The 24356-nt window shown below is 41.9% G+C and overlaps 1 protein-coding gene and 1 long non-coding RNA gene across 34 annotated transcripts in view; one reads left to right on the top strand and one right to left on the bottom strand.

The window, feature by feature from the left end:
• Positions 1 to 24356, bottom strand: part of PLCE1 (phospholipase C epsilon 1) — a 338893-nt gene that overhangs the window by 226518 nt on the left and 88019 nt on the right. For 5 of the 32 annotated variants that reach the window (XM_006717890.4, XM_047425302.1, XM_017016312.3 and 2 more), the window contains exon 1: positions 16930 to 17280. The exons of 25 other annotated variants lie outside the window; for them this stretch is intronic. In XM_006717890.4, the coding sequence (XP_006717953.1) occupies positions 16930 to 17211 (282 nt within the window). In that variant the 5' untranslated portion in view covers positions 17212 to 17280. Of the gene's footprint in view, positions 1 to 16929; positions 17281 to 24356 lie in introns of those variants that run through there. 2 more of the 32 variants (XM_011539850.4, XM_047425303.1) reach the window with 1 other exon arrangement.
• The window catches only part of PLCE1-AS2 (PLCE1 antisense RNA 2), a 26845-nt gene extending 2489 nt beyond the window's left edge, over positions 1 to 24356 (top strand). Inside the window, exons 3-8 of one of the 2 annotated variants that reach the window (NR_120616.1) lie at positions 1849 to 1968; positions 9430 to 9547; positions 9857 to 9926; positions 11521 to 11632; positions 18105 to 18170; positions 24100 to 24356. This is a non-coding gene — a long non-coding RNA (PLCE1 antisense RNA 2). Of the gene's footprint in view, positions 1 to 1830; positions 1969 to 5612; positions 6659 to 9429; positions 9548 to 9856; positions 9927 to 11520; positions 11633 to 18104; positions 18171 to 24099 lie in introns of those variants that run through there. The other variant, NR_120615.1, reaches the window with a different exon arrangement.

Genomic DNA, 24356 nt, shown 5'->3' with positions numbered 1-24356 from the left:
TAAAAGGCATGTTGTAGTATGTATAATTTTGGTTTTAAAATTATGTAAATATACTAGTTAACATAAGAAAAGCATCTGGAAGAATACATATTATCTAAATTCTTTTTGAAGTGGGTGAAAAATTGTTACTTTTTATGTACTTCCAGACTGTTGAAGTTTATAACTAAAAATAAACCAATAGGAAAGCTAGCCATGCCATAGTGGCTACATGCATGGGATGTGAAGCCACACTTCCTGAGTTTGAATCCCAGCTCTGCCTCATCTTAAAAGTGTGATCATAGAGAGGTAACTTAACTTGTGGCTCAATTGCCTTATTTGTAAAATGGTAATAATGATAGTACCAACCTTATAGGTTTGTTGTGTGAATTAAACGAGTTAACACTCATAAAAAGGTGAAAAAAGGCTTGGCATAAACACTCAATAAGTTGAGTATTTATTGGTAAACAATAAATTTTTACCTTAAAAAAGAGCTATTTGGTTGTTTAATTAGCAGAGGACAGAAGGGAGGAAGCGAGCAAAATGGGAAAAGATTAATGCCAGATGATAAAGGGCCTTGACTACCAAGCTAAGAAATGGAGATTAATTTCTTTAGTAGGAAATGAGGAGCCTTTCATTCATTCAACACATATTTATTGAGTGCTTTCAGTGTGCCAACATCATTCTAAATGATTGGGATACATGAGTGGGAGTGAGTGAAGTGGACAATGGCAGCATTTTAGAAAAGGATTAAGGTAATCAACACTACTTTTTGAGAACAATGGGTCTGTGCCTTAAAAGTGTTTTGTGTGTGTGTGTGTGTTTAGGGGAGATGATCAGGACGATGGGGAGGCGCTATCAGTCAATGTATTGTTTGGGTGAGTGGTGATAAGTGCCTAATACACAAAGCGAGTACAGGCCTGAAGCCTGAAGAGATATCTCTGGTCTGAGATAACTGACAGGTGATCCCTGGTGTCTGGGTGTTGACTGAGACTGGAGGGGTCAGGTGGGGAGCTGTGGTGGGCAGGAACACCAGCTTTTCAGAGTTTACCTCAACACTGTCCAACTCAGTTGGCCTAGAGTCAGGCAACCTGGTTTTAAGCCCATGTTCACCACCTTTGATTGGAGGAACCCAGGCAAACTGCACTTCTCTGGGCCTCAGAATCCTTCTATAAAATGAAAGGGTCTCCTCTGATTATTTCCAAGGCCCTCCATCAGCTCAAACATGCTATCATTTTCATGGCATCACAAAGAGGCGAATGAATGGGGCTTCCTTCCTCATTTCCAACTGATTATATTCCAGACTCAAAAGAGAAACGAATAAATAAAACATAGGATTCAGATGTGCAGGATAATATATGAGAAGACTGTTTACATTTGCTTCCTTTTTGAGAAAGCGCATGTTGAATTTTAAGCCAAATGTATGTGTCAAGGTTTGAAAATAGGTTACTCAGATAATTTCATTCCATATGTGCAGCTGCTGTTCTAAAGTATAAACCACACTCGTCTAGTAAAACCATCATCTGTTCTATAAGGAATATGAACATTCATCTGGCCCTTATTTTTAGAGTGAGAGGTCAAATGCACAAGAGGTGAACTGTACTTGAGTCCACCGTGCCAGATGCAGATGGGGGACTGAAGGCCAAATATAAATCGTAATATCTGAATTTGTGGGTATTTCAATTAGATGGCTTAGAAGATCAAAAGAAATAAATCCTGGAATATCAAAGTGGCAAACAGAAGCCGCAAAAGGCCATCATTCATTTGGTTCATTCATTCAACAAATCACTCTCACAAAATCAATCATCAAAATAAACAGGCTCTGACTCATTTCCCATTGCTTATTGTAGTTAGGTTTCTTTTTCTCCCCAGGGTCATGGGATACATGAACTTCAGGCTTAATCTCTGTGTGAGAAAAACAGCATGAAGATAATCAACTCTATGTCAGAAGAAATTGGCAACACTACTAACCACGAGTAATGCACACCGAAGGCAAGCTACCTGAGCCCTGATCCCCCACCTGCCACTCTAGCGATGTGATTTTGGGCCAGTTAATTAGCTCCTTTCTGCCTCACTTTCCCCTTCATAGGGTTGTGAAGAGGACGTTACTATTTGTACACTGTTTTGAGCAGTGCCTGCTGTACAGTAAGGACCATATATGTGTTTATAAAATAAATCTTAGTTGCTATAGGCAACACCACGCAGCTGAGAGTGGCCGCACATTGACTCTCTTAAAGAACACTTCCTCTCTTGCTCATCCTACTCAGCTCATAAAAGTTCCAGGGAAAATCATACATTGGACAAGACAAGGATCAGCTGTTCTTCATTTTTACTTAGGAAGGCTAAGAGGAATTTACACTGAAAAACCTCCTGCAAGGATGGCTGAAATCAAAATGACATTTCTCTTTAAAAAGGAGATAGTTTGTTGGTAGACCCGAAATGAGAATGTCCTGGCCTGGTGCCTACTAGCCTTGAAGTCTGTAATTTCAAATGACTTTGCTTGAGTTATTCGAACCCATTTTATTCTTAGCTGTTTTGGTGTGTGAGTTGCACTGTGTGTGCATGTGCATGCACACACACCGTGTGGGTAAGGATAGAAGGAGGCAAGATGCTTGAGTTTGCTTCATTTTAGCTCAACACTTAGAATTGCCTACAGCAAATTTCTTTCTTCCTTTTTTTTATTATACTTTAAGTTCTGGGGTACATGTGCAGAACATGCAGTTTTCTTACATAGGTACACACGTGCCATGGTGGTTTGTACAGCAAATTTCTTGAGCCTCAATTACTGAAACTGAAACATAGCACTGATGTTAATCTAAAAGAAGAGAAGGATCTTGACAAATGGTCTTTTGCGTGCTTTTTTTCTGGATCAAGAACTATTATTCAAAGTGGCTGGGATAATCTGTTTTTACAATGATTGCTCTCTTGAAGGCCAGAGGGCTGCTGCCACTCCCCTGGCTTAGATGCTTTCTCAGGGTGTCTGGTAGCATCAGTAATTAACAGCACAAACACTGGAGTCAGGCCCAAGGTTCAAGCCCTAGCTTTGCCATTTATCTTGTAAAAATAAGCCTCAGTTTGCCTATCTGTAAAATGGTGATAATGACAGTAACAGTATCTGTCTTATCAGGTGGTTGTGAGGAATAAGTGGAAGACTCAGAAACTCAGCATGACACCTGACAGTCAGCGCCTAATAAACAGTAGATTCATAGTAACAGCTGTTCTTGTCCCCAGGTGCCCCAGTGAAATTTTTGGTATATCTATCTTTAGATTGTGATGGGCAGTTTATTAGTTAGTTTTTATATTGGCTTTTAAAATCTCCAGCAAGAACTCTTTTAAAACATGCCATCTGCCTCCTCCACTGTTTTTCTTCTTTGTATTTTTAAAAAATTTCAAAACAAACCAAACTATTTTAAACTATGCCTGAGTGGTTACCTATTATTCATCAGAAGAGATTCCAGGGCTTTTTGTAGACGGATTTCACATTGGGATGCTTTGGTCAAAGAGCCGCCTGTCCCATTCTGTCTTCCTGCTGGATAGCCCCTGGGAATGGGTGGGCTTCTCATAAGACCCGTCGTGGCACCAGGATGAGGAGATGGGAGTGCAGCCCAGGGCTGGGGTGTGGAGGATGCAGACAGGATAGCCATGGGAGAGGCGCTGGCATGAGTTCTGGCCTAGGCCTCTCTGATAACCAGCTGTGTGACCTTGGTCAGGTCACTCAAACACACTGGAATGTATTGTCTTCACGTGTGACATGAGTTGCCTAGCAATGGGCAAAGCCAAGAAGACAATCCACCCAGGAGGCAGATGGCAGACACATTGTTCACCTTCACTAGTTATCAACAAAATGCAAAAGGGGACAAAGGTATCATTTTAATATTTATTAAAGTAAAAACTGAAAAACAATAATACTCAATGTTGCTTATGTTTTACATTACCATGAGCACAGCATTGGTGCAACTGCTTGGGATTGGAAAACACAACTTAGACTATGTCTCTCTCGTGAAAGAGAAATTGGTACACTTGGGTGTGGTTCCTCATCTCTGCAATTCACTAGTTTGAAGGCTCAATGTTTCTGAAGCTCACTGGAATATGGGGCAAAATGGGGATTAAAAACAATGCCCCCTAGACAGGTTGTTGTGAGGTCTGTGAATAATGTAGATAATGGGCATAGCCTAATGCTTGGCATAGAACAGATGCTTATTGTTGCTACTGATGTGACAATGCTGATGCCTGATTCAATGCATCTGGCTCATGTTATAATGCCAAGGAGAAAAAACCCATTTGCCCCCCTTTCTCAGATTCCCTGTCAGAATCTCACTTCTCAATAGGCTGAGCAGAGACCTGCCCATCTGCAGCCCCACTCATCCGAGTGGTTCTGACCCATAGCCCCTGTGGTCCCCAGGCAACTCTGGGTACATGTCCTGGGTACATGTCTCCTATCACATGCCCACCACCGCACAAGAGATGCCAGTTCTGCCCAGCCCAGGTGGCATTCACTCAGCTCTACAAATGGCCTTCCGGGCCAGACCCCTTCAGCGCCTCCACACAGAGCAGGGGGCAACATCCTTCCCGTGCCCACAACCTCTGCCTCCAAAGGCAAGCCAGCCCCTCCAAAGAGCTCAGGCTCTCTGACTCACTCCTGCTGCCACCATCACTCCGGCACATCTTCCTGTGCCAGCCACTGGCCCTGTATTTACCGAGTAGCTCACCCCATGGACAGGAGGTCACCTGTGTCACTTGTTTTCAAATGCCCACTTGCTTCTCAGGGGGGTTTTCTCCTCTTCCTCACGTCTCTCCTTTGATTCATTTCTTGTTTGTTGGTAACTCAAGCCCAGTGTAGACTAGAATTGCCATAAATTCTTTATCTACTCAATATCAAAGATGTCTCTTCTTAAATGCTTCTTTGAATTATTTCTCAATACCAGGTTCTGTCTCTGTTTCCATTTTGCAACCTAATAAGGACTGAAATCTGTTTTCAGTATTACTTTATTTTTTTTTCCTCAGCTTTAAAAATATTTTCAGAGAGCCAAAGAGCTGAGGAACTGAAAGGACTTCATTAAGTCCTCATTTCATTCATGAGAACACCGAAGCCCCGAGGGGTGAGCCATGTGCTGTGCACACAGGGGTGAGGTGCGCAGGTGAGGCTAGGAAGTACCCTTCTAGCGCCTTGCTGTCTCATGCCCCATTTCCTCATAAGCCTCACGCTGCCTCGGCAGGGCTTCTGACAAACAATGACCATATTTCCTCTGTGGAGAGCTCTGAGGGGCCTGTGGATCTGCAGAAATAGCTCCCCACAGGGGTCCCAAATCCATCATGGACTCACTCCTCTCTCTCACTTCTAGGCTTCTGTAAATGCTGTTCCCTCTTTGTGGTAACTACAGCTAAGTCACACTCCATCTCTAAATGCTTCCTGGAGGAAGCCCCATCTGAGCCTCCAATTCCAGACAGGGAACCCTCCCCTGTGGCCCCTGCAGAAACTTGTATGCCCTCCGGAGCTGGTATTGCTCACCAGTCTTCCAACAGGCCATTCCTGTTGCATCCATCTTCCATAGTGGTCTGCATACAGTATGAGGAAGAGCAGACACAATTAACTCACACCAAAGTGTTAGTGACTTGAAAATCTCTCTTATCTGCAGGAGGACCCGGGGAAGAACCAAGAGAAGACAAGAACTGAAGTTCTTCCATTCCCACCTCTGCATCACCTTCCCTGCTTTCTCTTTCCCCAGAAGAGACTCAGTCAACATCCCAAAGACCAATGATTTCATTGTTTTACACCAAATATCCCTCCTCTAAATTTTTCAAGAAATTGGGAATAAACTTCTTACGCAAGAAAATTTGGGGAGCAAAAGCAAGTAACCAGCCTAGATGAGCACATCCAACCTCTCTCCTCTTGATTCTCACATGTATTACCCAGGGTCCTGTTTCTGCAGAAAGGAGGGAACCCTTGAGAACATTTTCACTATGTCACTTTAGCAGCCTAACTCTGTGGTACCCCTGATTTAGGGAGGGTGAGGGGGTGGTGAAGACTGCAACCCCAATAGAAGCAGGGAAGGTGACATAGAGGTGAGAATGGAAGGACTTCAGTTCTTGGCTTCTCTTGGTTTCTGCCCTGGGTCTTTCTGGCACTATCTTTCCCTAAAGTATTTCATCTAATTCCTCAAACATCCCTGGATAGCCTATATCATAAAGTCCTTTATGATCTCTGTTTTACCTGGAAAGAAAGTGAGATGCAAAGAAGTTTAGTAACTTGCTGAGACCACAGAACCAGACAGAGGTTGTGCTGAGACCCACCCAGAGCACCAGGCTCTTCATCACAACCTCTTTTTGTAATTTCCCACACAGTCTTCTTAATGGCATCAGGGGTGCACATGTGTGTTCTCCCTGACCATTAAACCCTCACTGGCATTAACTGGACAAATAGGAAGTTTAAAGAGGGTATTTAACACCCCATTCATCTAGTCTCCCTGCCTGAGCTGCTCCCCCATCCTAGAATGTGCTTTTATCTCCTGTGATAACCAAAGACCCACTGGATCCTCCCTGCCCCCTCTCTCACCATAAGGGCCTCAATGCAAGTTAATGTCTCCATTTTCCACATTCCTATTATGTTTATAGATGGTTCTGTACAATTTCATGTTTTACAGACTTGTTCAACCATTGATATAATAACAACCATGAAAACAAATACTTTTGAGCATTTGTTATCTGTTGAGTAGGTTTTGTCTTAATTTCCATGATAATTCCATAAAGTTGATATGATAGCTCCCTCCTTATAAACAAGAATACTGAACCTTGACATATGTGTTCGAGAGAAATAATATATCTTGGCAGTTTAAAGTTTGAGCTTTGACTTTGTCTGGGTTTAAATCCTAATTCACTAAGTAGGTAAATGTATGCAAACTGCTTCTCTAAGCCTCAGTTTTGTGATCTGTAAAACAGGGTTGCTGAGAGGCCTAAAATGAGGTAATGTGTATGAAGTACTGAGCACAGGACTGGCATGGAGTAAAGTGCCCATTGACTGCAGGCACTTAATATCAGAAGGAAGCAGGGTTTAAAGTCTAACTCCAGGGCCCATGATGCCTGCTTTTCATATAATCCTGAAGTAGGCAGAGTTTTTCCTCGCTATTTTAAAGAAGAGGAATTAGGTTCAGAAATATAAAGTGACTTGTTCACCAACACCCAGCTGTTAAGAGTCAAGGTTGGGGTTTGAGCCAAGTGTAGCTTTACTTGACTTCCCAACACTGAGCTGCCTATGTTAATCTGTTAGTTTCATGCAATCTTCTTTCTTCCAAATTCGTGATAAGCTCCTTGGAGCCAAGCAAAGGCACTTCCACTTTGCCTGCATTTCCCAGATGGCCTGGCACAGCCTCACACGTGCTGTGCTCTCAATATACCTCTAGTAAAGAAAATCCTTGCTGCCCTTGCACAGCCTGGCACTCAGCTCCCTAGAACCACGAGGAGTATCAGCTATGGAGGACTGAGAATCCTAAAACAGAAGGAATACAAGATAGGTCATTGCAGAATTACCTAACAATTTTATGCCTGTTGTATTCGTAAGAAGTAAGCCTCAAACAGTAACTCAAGGTGTTCCAAAGAAAGCTGAATGTCGTACAGGTCCATAGCCACAGATTCTTCAGTAAGTAAAGAGTGTATATAAAGAGAGAATAAAAAGAGATAATCTATTAGAGATGAAAAGATTCACAAGACATATCAGTCAAATGTAATATTTGGACCTCATCTGATTCCTGTTCCAAAAACCAAATATTAAAAGCCATTTTAAAGACAATCAGGGAAGTCTGAATATAGGCTTGTCATTAAATCATAATTCGGAAATATTTATTTAGGTATGATAATATTGCAGTTCTCTTTTTTATGAAGTCTCTATTTATTAAAAATATACTAAGAAGTATTTATGCATGAAGTGATATAAAATCTAGGATTTAAATACTCCAGCAAGGTAGAGGGGAAATACTCCTGAGGGGAGATTGATAAAACAATATTGGCAATGTTTATAAATGTTGAAGCTAGGTGATGGGTAAAGAGGGGGTCATTATACTATTCTCTGTATTTCTGTGTTTGTTTAAAATTTTACACAGTAAGTTTTTGTTAAAAAAGGAAGGAATGGTGAATCCCCAGCAATCTTCCATTTTGTTCTGCAACTACTTGTCTTCCACGAGAGTTCAGTCTCCTTGACGACATGAAAAGTCATTCTCTTCCTAAGGGTCCTAAATGTACTTATCCAAGTGAGGGCTAAGCAGCTGTTGTGAGGACAGCTCACCTGGACCATTCTCCAGTCCCTTCCAAATCAGGCTACTTCAGACTGACCTTGTCACTTTCCCCAAATATCCACACTGTCTCCATAATCTCATCTCTGTCGCCTGTCCACTGCTGTAGGTCAGAAACCTCAGCACCACCTTTGTCTCTTTCCTCTCCTTCAACCCCTAGGCCAGGCAGCCAATGCTACTTTGGAGCATGACTCAGATGACACATTTCCTCTCCATTCTGACTGCCCCAGCTCTGGCTAAAGGCTCAGCACCACATACTTGGACGATGGCAGCAGGCTCCTGCTGGGTTCCCTTATTTTGACATTTTTCCTTTCTGTGCAAATAGCTGAACTTTCCAAAATACTAGACCACCAAGCTTAATGCTTTTACTTGGAATCACCCATTTTGAAACCCATTTGTTACATCCCTGTCTCAAATAGGCCTCTCAGGAGTTCTCATGGTTAAGCTCCGCCTTACTACCTTTCATAGCTCACTGGATACCTTCCTTAATCATTTCAGAATAAGTCTGGTCACAGCTAGACTGGAAGCTCAAAGGGAAGGAGGCTTGTCTGTCTACTCTACATCCTGGCACTTAGCATCATGCTTGGCACACTGTTGTGGGTGCACAGTAAATATTGGTTGGATAAAGGAATAGATTTATTAATGAATAAATTCTGTGAAAAAAATCATTTTTTCCCCCTTGATGTGTGCCTGTGTGGTGCTTTCTTCAGCACAGGTCCTAATCTTTTCAACACAGCATACCTCCAGTGCATGATGACCAAATCTTTAAGAGCCTCTGGAGGGAGACATAATCTCCCTACAAAGATAATTTTCAAGTAAAATCTAAATAAAAGATATTCTAGGGTTTCCCTTCTCCCATACACACAGTGTAAACAAACCTCTATTTATAGGTCAAGTAGCCTTAGCTTTAGCTCTGACTACACATGAACTTGGTCTACCCATCCATGTCTCTGGTCCTCAGTTTCATCATCAGTTAAAGGAGAGGGGTAGTTGGGTAATCAGTGTGATCCTTTCAGTTATAAACTTCTTGGTACTTTCTTTCATAGAAGCCACAATACCTTGTGCCCAAAATGTCATTATTACCTAAGTATAGAAAGTTTCCCTTTATTACAATTCCAATTGCTAGCCTCATGAGGAAGTCAGACTCGCTGATATGAATGTTTCTCTCTAGAACTCACCTTCTTATGGAGTCACCTTCATCCCTCTGCTCAGCAAACATGTCTCTCCTATAAGCAAATTCAATAAGGAATTTTTCCCCTTTATTGTTGACACAGTATCTCTTTACGATGGTAAGTTGTGCATCTTTTCAGCCTGTCTTCATAACCATCATGTGATTTCGTGCCCAGGGCAATCAGTTGAGACAATCAGGTAGGGTTTATGGTTGGTGATATGGTTTGGTTGTGTCCCCACTCAAATCTGGGGATTTAATTTCTATAATCCCCACATGTCTTGGGAGGGACCTGGTGGGAGGTAATTGAATCACGGGGGCAGTCACCTTCATGCTGTTCTCATGATAGTGAGTGATTTCTCACGAGATCTGATGGTTTTATAAAGGGCTTTTCCCCCTTTTTCTTGGTACTTCTCCTTGCTGCGACCAGGTGAAGGACATGTTTGCTTCCTCTTCTGCTATGATTAAGTTTCATGAGGCCTCCCCAGCCCTTCAGAACCGTGAGTCAATTAAATCTCTTTCCTTTATAAATTACCCAGTCTTCAGTATGTCTTTATTAGCAGGGTGAGAATGGACTAATACAGCTGGTTTATCATTTTGCAAAACAATCTGTTAGATAAGCAACAGATTTATTTGTTGCTTCGTCTTGAGTGTGTTAGCAAGTGGAAGGTAGAGGTACCTAGTCTCCATATTTTCTAAATCCTGGTTCTGGAATCTTTAACATCATTCCATACTGCCCTAGGAACAGGCAGTGGGACAGCTGTGAGGGTAAGGAGAACTGGGGTCCTTGCTTTTGAAGCCATCTCAGCAATCTGGGAATGGGCAATGAAGTCACGGCCCAAATAAGGATGTATGTAGATCACAAGAAGCCCCCAATAACAGCTGAAGATGACAGCCTCCCTCAACTCCAGATCTGCCTTGTAGCCTGAAGACCCCTGATGATATTGTCCTAATGGCCTGGGAGCTGGGCCACAAAAAGGCCCACTGGCCTGGATAGTTCCTCCAAACACAGAAGTAGAAGGAACATGGGCTTCAGGGTCTGACAAAGGGCTCAAATCCCACCTGTACCCCTTAATAGCTGTATAAAATCAGGCCTGGTCCTCATCTGTAAAGTGAGGAAGACACCACCCATTAAGGGTTTTCTGGGAGTATTAAGGGAAATAGCTTACTTGAAGTGGCTAGTATGGTGCTAGGCTTTAATTTTCTTTTCCCCTACCTTTTAGTGCCTCTCTCTCCTCTCCCATGCGGCCCTGTGGCTGGTGACACACAGCAAGTGCTGAATGTCAATCATTGTTATTAAGAAATTTCCAGCCTGGGAAACATAATGAAACCTCATTTCTACAAAAATTACAAAAATTAGCCAGGTGCAGTGGTGCATGCCTGTAGTCCCTGCTACTCAGGAGGCTGAGGTGAGAGGATCGCTTGAACCTGGGAGGTGGAGGTTACAGTGAGCCAAGATTGTGCCACTGCACTCCAGCCTGGGTGACAGAGAGAGATCCTGTCTCAAAACCGAAACCAAAGCAAAACAATTGAAAGAAAGAAAGAAAGAAAGAAAGAAATTGAAAGGCCCCTGAGGGACAAGGGGATCAAGGAGCCAATAGGAAAAGGCATGCTGCAGAGGGGATCCTACGATGTGAAGACACAAAGTGCATCTTTCTTGAATGTGCCTGTCATTGCATGAGTCCCGAGGCTGACCCAGTATGTGGCCAACGGGTCTTTGCTGGCAGAAATACAGACCAGTCTCTCTCTAGAAAGGAGCCAGCTATAAAGAAAATAGAGGGAAAAGGGAGGTATTTTAAGGATGATTACAATGTATTCTTTGCTAAACAGTTGCCAAAATGGTCTGCAGTTACCAGCAGTTGGAAACAGTTTGTGGAGTAGCCATGTAAGAAAAGAAGTTTTTTTGCTAATAAGTTTTTAATCTTGGTCAAATGAACTTAGATTTAGCTAATCAAAAATAGGCATTGGAGTTGAAAGGGGCAGTTAATTTAGTGAGAATTCTACTTCTATGGAATTAGATATCGATTTCCTCCCCTTTTGCACCCGAGACCACTAAGCCTAAGGATCTCTAAACCAGCATCACTCCTCATCTAGTGGCAGCTACGTGCATGAGCACAGCCTCTGAAAGCATGCTGTCAGATGCCGGGTGTGAAACTCTGGCACTTGGGATTGATAAGGCTGGCACCAAAAGGAGCGTCCACCACTGGTAAGAGTAGTTACCCATGACTGACCCAGGGTTTCCTCCCTCTGGTCTCCATGTCTAATCATTCCCTTCCTTGACTGTCCTCTTCCAACTTTCATGTGAGGGCTACTCACCCTGCAGATGTCTTGCAGGATATGACTTCCTCTAGGCAGTCTTCCTTCACCTCCAGGTCTGCATTAGGAAGCCCTGCTATGAACTCCCATAATGGCCTATTCTTTCTCCATTCATGCACCTGTCATACTCTCCCACAGTGGTTCTCAAACAGAGGCAATTTTGCCTCTAGGAAATAATTGGATGTCAACCTAGTGTCTAGGTTGAGGAACTCTGCTCTACTGTAATTGTTTACTGTTTCTCTCTAACACGGTGGCTGTCTTGTTCATATTTGTATACCTCGTACAATGCCTGGTACATTCTAGGAGCTCAAAAGAAATACCGAGGCCGGGCGCGGTGGCTCACGCCTGTAATCCCAGCACTTTGGGAGGCCGAGGCGGGCGGATCACGAGGTCAGGAGATCGAGACCATCCCGGCTAAAACGGTGAAACCCCGTCTCTACTAAAAATACAAAAAATTAGCCGGGCGTAGTGGCGGGCGCCTGTAGTCCCAGCTACTTGGGAGGCTGAGGCAGGAGAATGGCGTGAACCCGGGAGGCGGAGCTTGCAGTGAGCCGAGATCCCGCCACTGCACTCCAGCCTGGGCGACAGAGCGAGACTCCGTCTCAAAAAAAAAAAAAAAAAAAAAAAAAGAAATACCGATTAAATGACTGAATGACCTTCATCTCCACTCCACATCTCTGGTTTACTGCTAGCTTTTGACCCTGACAAACCCTGTACTTGGCTCTCTGTCTTACCCAGCACAAATCCTGTCTTCCCAGACCACCATCACTATTCTACTCTGCGACACAGAGTGCAGGTCATGAGTGATAGAAAACTAGGGCCACCTGCAGTAAAGCAGAGAACAGAGCACCTGGGCTGCAGACCTAGGCAGAGTCAAGACCATAAGAAATGGAAGAAGGCCTGAGATAAATGGGAGCAGGGCCAGACCACCAGGCAAATTGGGCAGTGGGACTGTGCAGCTAGGAACTCAAAAGCTGATTAGTTTTCAAATCCTTCACATGGCATTTATTTAATTAATGGACACTGACTGTCTGTTTCTGAGGCTGCAGGATTCTTTTCCCCCTTTAGTGAAGTAACATTGTATGATGAATACTTTCTTGCAACTGAGTCACTGCCTATTTGTTTCTTTGTGCTTTTGCTACTGAGTTCACATGAATTATGATAAGCTTATTTTACATGATTGTAAGGGGCTGGTAATTCTCAGCAATTTCAAGAATGAAACGTTCACAAAGACTTTCAAAACAGTGACATGACATGGTTTGGGAATTCAAAATCACAGTTATTGAAAACATTATTTGATTTATTATATTTTACATTTTACATACAGATTATAATTTATGTTTAAATAATGTACTGCAGGGAGATGGAGCTGGGCAATTTTACCAGGCAACCAAGGTTTAGGGGGCTGCTAGACTTTCAAAAGTAAAAATGAGTTGCTTTTAACAACAGCTCCATGATTTCACCCTTGAATTCCTTTAGAACTCTTGGATGAAGGCCAACCTGTCCCTGTGATTTATCCATATCCAGTTTGTCAACTCAGTCTAGAACATTCTGTTCATTTACTACTTTTTGATCTAGTACCTCTGCTTCTAAAGATGATTTTGATATATTTTTCTGAAAAGACCAAGGCAAATAATTTATTGTGTCTGCTGGCTCCCTTTTCTATCGCCCAAGGAGTATTCTGAGCATCTGCAAAGGTTCTGCTGGATCTTTGCCTGGTTCCTTCACTTTGATTCCTATAAAAGTCTCTCTTATTTTTGCTTTAATGTCAGTTTCTTATAGAATGCTCCTTAAATTATGTGTGAACCTTTTTACTGGGCTTTCTAGGTGGGTTTCTCTGGTTTTCCAACTGAACTTCCTATTTTTTTCAAAGATGTCTCTTCCTTATTGAAGTCTCTTCCTTATCTTTGCCTTGCTCCTTCACTTCGATTCCTATAAAAGTCTCTCTTATTTTTGCTTTAATGTCAGTTTCTTATAGAATGCTCCTTAAATTATGTGAACTTTTTTACTGGGCTTTCTAGGTGGGTTTCTCTGGTTTTCCAACTGAACTTCCTATTTTTTCAAAGATGTCCCTTCCTTATGAAGGAATATGCTCTTCCTTGAGCAATTCTCTTTGCACTGTATCTGTAAATAATAATTATGATCCCAACCTCCAGAGCTATAAGGGCAAAATAAATTAAGGAACATAAAGGATTTCACACAATACCTGCCACAAAGAAAGTGTTTAGCGTCGGTTGTTTCTTCTTACTTTATTGGACAAAGAAGGTGGGGTAGGGAAAAAAACCTAGTTCTTCTCACCCGTGCCTCTCAAAATGATTTTTTGAATCCTGTCATATTTTGTGTTTCTGAAAAGGTGTTTGGCAGTTAACCTTTTTTAAAAAAAATTCATTGACAAGATTCTTGAGGTTTATTGACTATTTTTCATAATTACTATTCATGCTTTTAAAATTCTCGTCAGGTATACATTATCTTGGTTTTCCGTTCCTTGCATCAGACCGTTAATCTTACATTTCTTAGGGTTATTAAATTACAGTGGCTCACACACAGACACCTCCCTGTACCTTCTATGGTATTTCTTTTTCTTTTCTGCTATAAAATCATTAGCACAGGAAATGATCATTTGTCCTAGTTCATTCCAGGGAGGTATTTTGCCAATCTACAAGTGAATAAACACTCTCATTATTGCTAATTGGCCTGATTTTTTTTTAGCTTGGCCAGTCCTATTCCAGTTTCCAGCTCAATCTCATTATCCTTGTCAGGTGGCCCATAACCCCCTTCTATTGCTATATTTTCCATTAACTATTGACTATTTCCCTATTTCCACCCACTGGGCCTCTCCTGATGGCATTTTTATGCTGAAGCTCCTTGGATTTCTTCACTACTCTAATACTCTGTTTCATGACCCTGGCTTCTTACTCTTCATTGCCAACTATCTCAAGAGCATTTTCAATTCCTAAGAAACTCAACAGTCTTTTTTTCTTTATACCCCTGTCTCCTGCTGTCACTAGAATCCTCAAATTCCACCTGTCTCTTAGGTACTGTAGACTATAGTTATATAATGAACTATAGTTATCTTTCTCTCCCCTCTCAATCTACTCCTCACACCCCAAAGAGCCTCAGAAGCTGTGTTGTAACCAACTCTGCAGGTGTTGCTTAGGCATACGAAAGTTTGAAAAGCACAGATCTAAAGCATTGTTTACTGCTGAGGGAAGAACTGAGTGTTAAGATGCCATGGAGGAGGCTTTTCATTGTTTACCCTTTTTGTACTGTTTGAATTTTTTTCAACCATGCACATGTCTTACCATTTTAATAGAAATAAAAAGACCAAACAAGTAAAACCTTCATCAAGATCACATTAAGAAGGAAAAGATAATCCATGGCGACTGTTCCCAGATGTTTCTGGCAATTGTTCCTCAATTGTTTACCTGAACAATTTTCCCTCTCTCCAAAATGACAGATAAGGAGAAAAAAGACAGAATGAGGATAATGTAATACACTGACAAAAAATTATATATATATTTTTTGGTCTTCTGAAAACATTTGAGGAAAAGCATTTGTAACAATAGCTTGTCTAGATTCCTCTAAAATAGAATGGACACAGCACAATTAAGAGTCTGCATGTTTTAACTCTTGGAATGATTTTCTTTTCCTAAAGATTACAGCTATTCTCACACCTTCTCAAATTGAGGCTCAAGCCAACCTTACTATTAGCCATCCCACTAAAAGAAAATACAATGGTTAAAATGCTAGATTAAAGTAACACAAAACGCAAGAGACTGCTGCCAGTCTGTTTCCAAAAAGAAAAACAGGACGACATAGGCTGAAAGGGCTCACCGAACAAAAACAAGAAGAACCACTGAGTGCATAGACCTCGTCCCACTCAACCAAAGCTGGAGAGTCACAGTCCCCTACATCTAATGAAAACATTTGATTTCCAATAAATTAAAGTGATCAGGAGTCCCTGCATCTATCCATCTACCACAAAGACCACAGACATTCACTTCTACCAAGACACCCCGCACCTTCCATAAGGAAGGAGAGATGCCAAATGCCCCCTTTCCACACAACTTTGGACAGGAAAAATGAGCCTGCGTCAGGACACGGACACAATTTCTCATGTTATTTTTCTGAGGGTTGTTATCCATCTCTCAGGGTTGTAGAAGGAATGAACACTTAATTGAAATTTTTAACCCTAACACTCATAAAACATCATATGCTCTTGAAAAGGATTATGGAAATTCGCAGATAGAATTATGTGAGCCATTTCAAGAGTAGTCTTCATAGCTTGAATTCCTTAAACACAGTACTTTGGGATGAAGTTAGCCAAATACAGAGAAACAAAACAGTTTTCAAGTTTTATTCTGGGTTATTTTTAACTCCTTTTTTTTTTTAAGAAAAGCAACAGAATTTGGAAATGAGTTGGTGGTGAGCAGAAAACTACTCCTTTCAATGACCTCTTCTTCAGCTAATCTTATCAAAGGTCTAATATCCTTTTAATGTTTATAAGTAAATGACCACTCAGATAAACTGCATTACCTTTCCCAAAACTATGGACATTTACACTGAAAATTTTTTAAAAAGCATATTTGAAACACCAAAAAACATGTAGCTCATTTTAATCAGGGATGCTATCAAATGTTTGCATTTAACTCCTGAGTATAGTTTTTTCCTCTTAGAAAAAAAACTATAACTACTTCAGGATATTCCTTACTAGTATTATAATCACAAAAGCCAAAAGGTAAAAAAGAAAGCAACAAACCAAATCTGCAAAAAGAAGAGCAATTTATTCAAAAGCGAGTATCCTGAAGAATATAAGTGAGACGTTTTCATCACATTAAATGTTGATACATAATATACCATAGGCCATTGCAAAAGGAATGAAAACAAACATCTAATAAACTCTCAGGATACCTATCGAGATCTTGTAGATTAACATGCAAAAAAAATCTCAAAGCTGAATTGCACAGCAAGAAAAATAATTTGTATCTCTATAGTTAAACATTTTAGGTTAAAACATTTTAGAAACTTTCTTAACAAGGAAAGAAACTTCTCTGATCTTCTTTGTAAAATGTCTCAGAGGAATTGTATTTTGGCTAACACTGCACAATGGTGCTAGTAAAGAAACAGTCCCCAGGATTCCATGCATTAAGAACACTGGGGGATTTCTTAGACAACAAGAACCCTTACCTGGTCTTCTTTAAGCCTCCAGCATCCACATCCATCCTTTAACAAGGTAAAATTGGGTACCTCAGAGAGCGGGAAGAGCCAACCAACCTTCAAGACAGCTGAGAGCGTGCAAAGCCACAGCTGACAGCCTGCTTCCCTCTCCTGGGGCTCTCTGCCTAAGAGGCTGCACAGAAACCAAGCCTGGTGCCAAATCTTAATCCCTTTGCAGAATCTCACGTGGAGCTGCCTCACCTCTTCCATTCCTGCAAAGTCTCTTCCTGCTGCACTTCCTTCTGAAACCATTAATCACCACGACCCACTGAATGAAGCCCAATCTCAAATCACAGTGAAAAATCCTGCAACGTGCAGGGTGATGAGTGTTTACATTAGCTGAAATGAAATGATGTAATACCCAGAATCGAGGGAGGGCTGCGATCCAGAGTCAGGGCATTGCAAAAACCTCTGTGAAACATAACTTTTCTACATTACAAAAAAATGTCCTTGCGTTTTAGTAATCTGGCTTCTGTAAATTTAGGATTACTTGGATTTTTCTGATCTCATCAATTTGTTTTCCAAATAGAAATTCAGAACTTCCCAATTACTCACTGTTTTAGTCAAGTTTAAAAAAAAGGGTAGCAAATAGAACCCAAAGTGTATACATGTGCAAAGAACCCAGTATCAAGGGAATAATAATAGAAGGCAGCCATCCAGGTATGTGGGCACCTGCCATGCTGCAGAATAGCAGAGCCTCCCAAGGGTCTAAGTGCCTTCAAAGTAAAGACAACTCCTAAGAAAGACAGTATTTGTTTAAGCCAGTGGCCAATTTTTCTTCCTATAACTGATGATGAACAAGAAAACCCAGGAGTTCCTAGCCCTATTATTGATGGGCAACTGCTATTGATTACTTTAGGATCTTGTGGTCCATGGTTGGGGTGAAACAGGAGATGTGAGAGGTCATGTTTGTGAAGGGAGGGGTAAAAGTCTGTCAACAGCACCTGCTTGGAAGAGAGACCTGGTAAGGCTTCATTGCAGATTAGAGGTTAGCTTGAGACTAGTGGAGATGCCAGAGGCAGAATATTTGGTTTGGATGTATTACTGATCATAATAGTAAATTTTAAGAAGTGTTTATCCTGTGCCAGGCAATGTGTAAGCACTTTCATGCATTATCTCATTTAACCTTCACAACAACCCTATAGGGTGGATTCCATTATTGTTCCTATGCTACAGGTGAAGAAGGTGAAGCTCAGAGAGATCAAGTAGTGGTAAGCTATTAGGTAATGGTACCAGGTTTGTCAGCATGCTTCCTAACCACCAGTTTGTATTGCTTATGCCAGCTTTGTGAGCTACACAACCACAGCAGCATGCTCAACACCCTGCAGAGGGACAAAGTGTTGCTGCAAAAGGGTGTGCAAAGCATGTGCTGTGGCTCCCCAAGTGCATATCCTAAATTCTTGGCTACCATTGTCCAGAAGTGCCAGTATCCGAGCTCCTGGCCTAAATGCAAGGCCCTTGCAAGGAAGGTGGCACCTCCAAATGTAGGGGTAAGTATCAAACGTCACATGAAAAGAGCTCTGGCCTGGCCCAGTTCTGTCATGAACCAATGACTTTAGTCAGTCCACTTCCCTTTTTGAATCTCATTAATATTAGGAGGTTGGGGACAGGCATGGTGGCTCATGCCTGTAATCCCAACACTTTGGGAGGACGAAGTGGGAGGATGGCTTGAGGTCAGGAGTTCAAGGCCTTCCTGGGCAACATGGTAAGACCCCTCCCCCACCACCTCTACAAACATTAAAATTAGCTGGGCATGGTGGTGTGCGCCTGTAGTCTCCGCTACTTGACAGGCTGAGGTAGGAGGATAACTTGAGCCCAGGAGTTTGAGGTTACAGCTGTGATCACACCACTGCACTCCAGCCTGGATGTCAGAGCAAGACCCTCTCTCTACAAAAGAAAAAGAAAATTAGGAGGTTGGACTTAGATGGGCTCTAGGGTTCCTTGCAGAATACATTTTCTATGATAAATGATTTTTCTTTTTTTTTTTTTTTTTTTTTGAGACAGGGTCTCGCTCTGTCATCCAAGCTGGAGTGCAGTGGCGTGATCACAGCTCACTGCAGCCTCGATCTCCCAGGCTCAAGTGATTTTCCCACCTCAGCCTCCTGAGTAGCTAGGACCACAGGTGCAAGCCACCACACCTGGCTAATTTTTTAAAAAACTTTATAGCAACAGGGTCTCACTATGTTTCCCAGGCTGGTCTCGAACTCCTGGGCTCAAGTAATCCTCATGCCTTGGCCTCCCAAAGGGCTGGGATTACAGGCATGAGCCACTGTGTTTGGCCAGCAAATGATTTTAAATAATGTGACTTCTGGGTGAGTTATTTTTTTTTAATCAGAATTTATGCATCCAAACAAGAATTCGCTCCAATATTACAAGAATACTAATCACCTCCATTTAGGCACTGTGCTTAGGGCACTATGTGAATATTCCACTTGTCCTTATAATAGCCCCAGTAAGGCAAGTATTATTATCTCTATTCCACAGATGAGGAAATGAAGGATCTGAGGGAATGAATGATTTGCATAGGGCCACACAGCTGGTCAAGGGGACAAATAGGGACTGGAGGCAGACCTGTGAGATTCCAGAGCCCACTGGGCTGCCCATCATTCCAACAGTGCTCCTGTTACTCAGAGCAATCCTGAGACACCTCTTGGATTCCTTTCAATTCAACCCATACATTCAATTATAATAAATACACATTTTGAACATGTGCTCCGTGCTGGGCACTGCAGAGAGTGTAGACATATGGGCCTATCCTCCAAGACCCCCACCCTAGTGGGGAAAACACAGGCAGAAGGAGGTAATTCAGCTGCAAGAGAGATTGGACAGTGTTACAACAGAGATATAAAGGACAATGGGAGCTTAGGCAAGTGAGAAATTGCTTCAAAATTATCCAAATTACTGCTAATATGCTCAGTGGTCATAAATATCCATCTTTAAAGGGTGGATGTAATTTTGGCTTACAAGCAAATCAGAGCCAAGACTAGAAAATAAAATGGGTCGTCAAGCTGGGCAATACCATTTTTGGTCACAAGCTGGGTGTGGCCGTAAAATAAAAGTGAGATAGATTTTACTGTGTGACCCAAATCAGTTCTAAAGGCAATTCCTAAAGGGCAGCTCCAAAAATGTTTTGAGCAATGATACCATCTCCAGATTAAAGAGCTACCCAAAGAGATTCCAAAAGACAAAGCTTCCCCAGCACAGCACTTAACCACACCAGAAGTCACTGCCTGCAGAATAATCACATGCCTGCCTGCTCACTGTGAGCTCCCAATCAGCAGGTCCCCAACGAGCTTGCTTGCTGCCATGCCCCCAGGATCTGGCATTGTACTGGGCACAGGGGATGGCTCAACAAATATTTGTTGACTGAGAGATATTTTGAACATGCAAATTCTCGATTATTTGTTTTTTAAAATTGTATTATTATTTGGCCACATCTAGACATCTGCATATTGACTGTGGGCACATTGCCAGTTGAGCACAATGGCCAAATGAAGACTATACTTACCCAGTCTGTCTTCCAGGCCAGGCCCTGGATGATCAGCCTGCTCGTGACAGGCTACTACAGTTTCCCATCCTGCCCCTGCTAGTGGCCGTTCTGGCATTCAGTGCTAAGAGAAGTAAGTGCAGAGCACTGAATATTCCATGGGAACTATTTAGGACTCATGGTCAGATGGGCTGACTAGTTCCCCCTTTAGTGCCAGCCCTGGAAGTCAGGCAACCGCTGGGGAATGTTTCTACAAACTCATCAGGTGTAGGCAGGGTGCCTCAATGGACATGTGGAACACCCTGCAGCCCAGCTGGCCTCCTAACAGTCCTGTCTGCAGGAACTCGGGATGACTCCTCCAAGCACAGCTCTACCCCCAAACACATTCCAAAATATGGACTGCCTCTGAGACGCCACAGATTCCTCAAGTCAGTACCGGAGTTCAGAGTAGATCTCAGGATAGTCAGAAGCCAGAGAGGGTTTTCCTGCCTTCTGTGGTCATCAATTCTCCCCTCCTCCTCCTTGTCTTTTTCTTGGTTGTTTGACTTTGGTTAGCTTACTAATTAGCCACATAAACAAGCCAGTACCAGATGGGGCAAAGCCTCTCTACCACTAGGACCCCCAAAGCCAAAGAATTTTGCAGGGTCTAATGTCCCCCCAAATCCTGCCTGTCCTCATGTTTAAATAAATACAATAATAGTACCCCCAAACACAAGATTGTTGAATGAGAAAATATACATAAACTACTTAGAACAGTGACTGGTCCAGAGTAGGTCCTTTATACATTTTATTTGTTATTGTTGTTGTAATTTCATACTCACTAGGGGCAGAGAAGGAGCCAGCTGACAGTGAGGAGGGGTATTCATTCATTTCTGCATTTATTTACTATGTCATTCTGCATGGGTGATTTTTCCTGTTTAATGCCACAAATGGATTTGATGTGGCTTCTCCATTAAAGTACATAAAATTAAACAGCAACATACAGTTTTAAGATAGATTTTGAGACCTGACTTGTTTGAAGGAAGCCGCAATTGCTGGTCACTGCATTTAGCTCTGAGATTCTTGGCAAATGAAACAATAACAGAAATACCCTGAGGTGTATCATTGGCATTGTCCAATCAGAAACAGTGTGAAGATTTAAGCAGCAAGAGAAATTTTTCCCTGGCTCCAAATTTTAAGAGGAATTTAAAGCTGGGATGTATGGACACCAGACAAGATAAAAGACAAAGCCACCTCTTGACTCACATGAAAGATGCGGAGACATCTTTCCAATGGCCCAGACTTACAAGGGCCCTGAGGGCTCACATTAAACTGTAGCTCAAGACAAGCGTTTATGGTTTCACAGAATGTCGGCACAGGAAGGGCCTCTTAGTCCAGCGCCCTGGTTTTACAGAAGAGGAATAGGTGGCCGGGGATGGGGGCCTGAAGAGGCAGACTAAAGAGGACCAGACTCAGCTTCCAGTCCAGTTCTTCCCTACCCCAAACTCTTGCCCTCTCCCCTCATTTCTTCCACCAACAAAAAGAAGCTTCCCTCAGGCCCTTCCTTAGGGGAAACGGCAAAGCTATGGCAGCCCCTTTCACACTGTGGGAATCCCTTTTCTTTAAACTTGGTCAAAAATAAATTTGAAAAATATTTAAATTTTCAAAGTCCAGACTGGAGAGCTTCCAGGTGGCTTTAGGAGGCTTGGCTGCACAGAGCCATTCTCAGTCTAAACTGCTGGCAGCTACTGCTGGTTGTCGAAGCGCACTCCTTACTCCAAAGTCCAACTTTAAAGGATTGTATGTTTTAGCAGCTACCATTCTTAAAAGCTTTCTAAGCACCCCATGGTGCTAAGTGCCCTATGTGATAGCCTCCTTTAATCCTCCCAATAATACTATGTGGAAGGTTCTATTATTAAGCCAGGACTTGAACCGTGTCCACTGAGTCTGGAGTCCAAGATCTTAACTACAAACTCTCAGTTACCTTTACAGAATGAAAGTCTTTGCTAGGCAAGAAAAAAGTCGGCCAATCATTACTGGCAACAGGCCCCTGTTGAAGCAATAAATTTTCCGAGGCCAACACTTGGCAAATGTCATTCAGACTGTACTTGGTTATCCTGAAGTTCTGAGGGACTCTCTGGAAAGATGATCTTAAAATTAGGATAATTCTTTAATTGTGGCATACTGAGCACAACATCAAAATGAAGCCTCCAAAGTCCAAGCACACACTATACCTAACAGGAAAAATACTTCTAGCAAATCAGAGGAAACTGCTGTTGGCTATCTTTAGGCCAGAAATGAGAGGGGCTGCACAGCAGGGCAAATGGATGTCTGGGTGCAGGTTCTGGTCTATCACATGCTAGTGTGGAACCCTGGGCAAATGGCTTATCTTCCCTAGCCCTCAGTTTCCTCTTCTGTAAAAGGAGATGGTAACAGTGCCTCCTTTATAGAGTTGTTTAGGGAACTGTTAAGCATATGTTGTGGGCCCCAAAAAAATGGGCTGATGAAAACGACCGACACCTTTATACATCAGAATACAGATTAATTATTGGAATCAGTAATCTTAAGGGTCTTTAATTAGGTACTGCTAAACATTTGAGGCAGTGTATTTTTCACATACACCCTGATGTTATTTTATCCAATACACACCTTTCCAATTCACAAAGCAATTACGGAACATATGTTATGGGCTCACCTTAATTCCTAACAGCACCCTTTATTGGCAACATTCAGATTCTTGACCAAGAATCTGATGCAATGCAAACAGAGAATGCAAACTCCAATTCTCTGTGATTCCTTCTTATCAGGAGCTTGGTTGCAAAAAGAAATAATCATAGAGAATTGCCAAAACTATGTTCACCTTAAATATTCCTCTTAAAATTTTAAATTACACCTTTTGATCAAGTCAGATCATCAGAAAGCCATATACCTAAAAATCTCTGTATTTTTGCTTCACATAGAATTGCTTTTAATGAATTTGTTCAAATGTTTGCCATTGGTTTTTCTACAATGTCCTGTAGTTTTCAGTGGATAAGTCTTGCATCTTTTTTGATAAATTTACTCCTAATTATTTTATTGCTTGGATGATATTATAAGTGGAACTTTTAGAAATTTTATTTCCAGATGGTTCATTGCTAATGTATGGAAAAAATTATTAATTTTTGTGTATTGATCTTGTATCCACCCATTGGCTTTCATTGACAGAAATTACAAATAACATTCATTCATTCAAAAATACATTATGAGCACCTACTATGTCTCAGGCACTGTGCTGGGCTCTGATATATGATGAAGAACACACCCCTCAAGGAGCTTGAGGTAAAGTAGAGGGGAATGTAGTCACATGAGGTGCACTCCCACCACTGAGAAGATGCTGTAAGCGCTGTCCCTGTGATTGCACAGGGCCCCTCCCTGGGGACCAAAGCACAAGCTTCTCTCCAGTCCCGGGAGCAGGAAAAGCTGAGTATCCCCCTAGCAACCATTCTATTTTCATCTCGTGCCCACTGTGAATTGTAGAGCTGGATAGGTTTTCTTTGCTTCAGTTGCTAGGAAGCTTAGGATTATGTGGTGGCCAAACTCTAGCCAATGACACTAAGGCAATAATTATTTTCTGTTTTACCATATTATTTCTCTTTGTCCTAATTTTCTCATCTTCTTATTTCACCTTGTTTTAGGTCGATCTTTGTAAGGTGCCTCAGCTTTTTCATGGAGAGAGGCTGGGAAGGAAGGCATTGCAGTTACTTGTTAATTCCTCAGAATGTTAATTTACTATGAAGATCTACTCCCTATAGCTGAAGTTCCACTGAGATGTGATTATATTACCTGAGTGAATGCTTATATTATCTGGAATAAGAACTGTTTCATACTTATAAGGTTCTTTAATCTACTCTTGGCAGGTCTAAATTAAACAAAGTCTATTAGTTTTCTTCAG

Source organism: Homo sapiens, chromosome 10, assembly GCF_000001405.40.
Source record: "Homo sapiens chromosome 10, GRCh38.p14 Primary Assembly".
In the NCBI taxonomy this organism is placed as follows: domain Eukaryota; kingdom Metazoa; phylum Chordata; class Mammalia; order Primates; family Hominidae; genus Homo; species Homo sapiens.
Note: the sequence above shows the minus strand (reverse complement) of the source record. Positions and strands in the feature narration are given on the sequence as shown.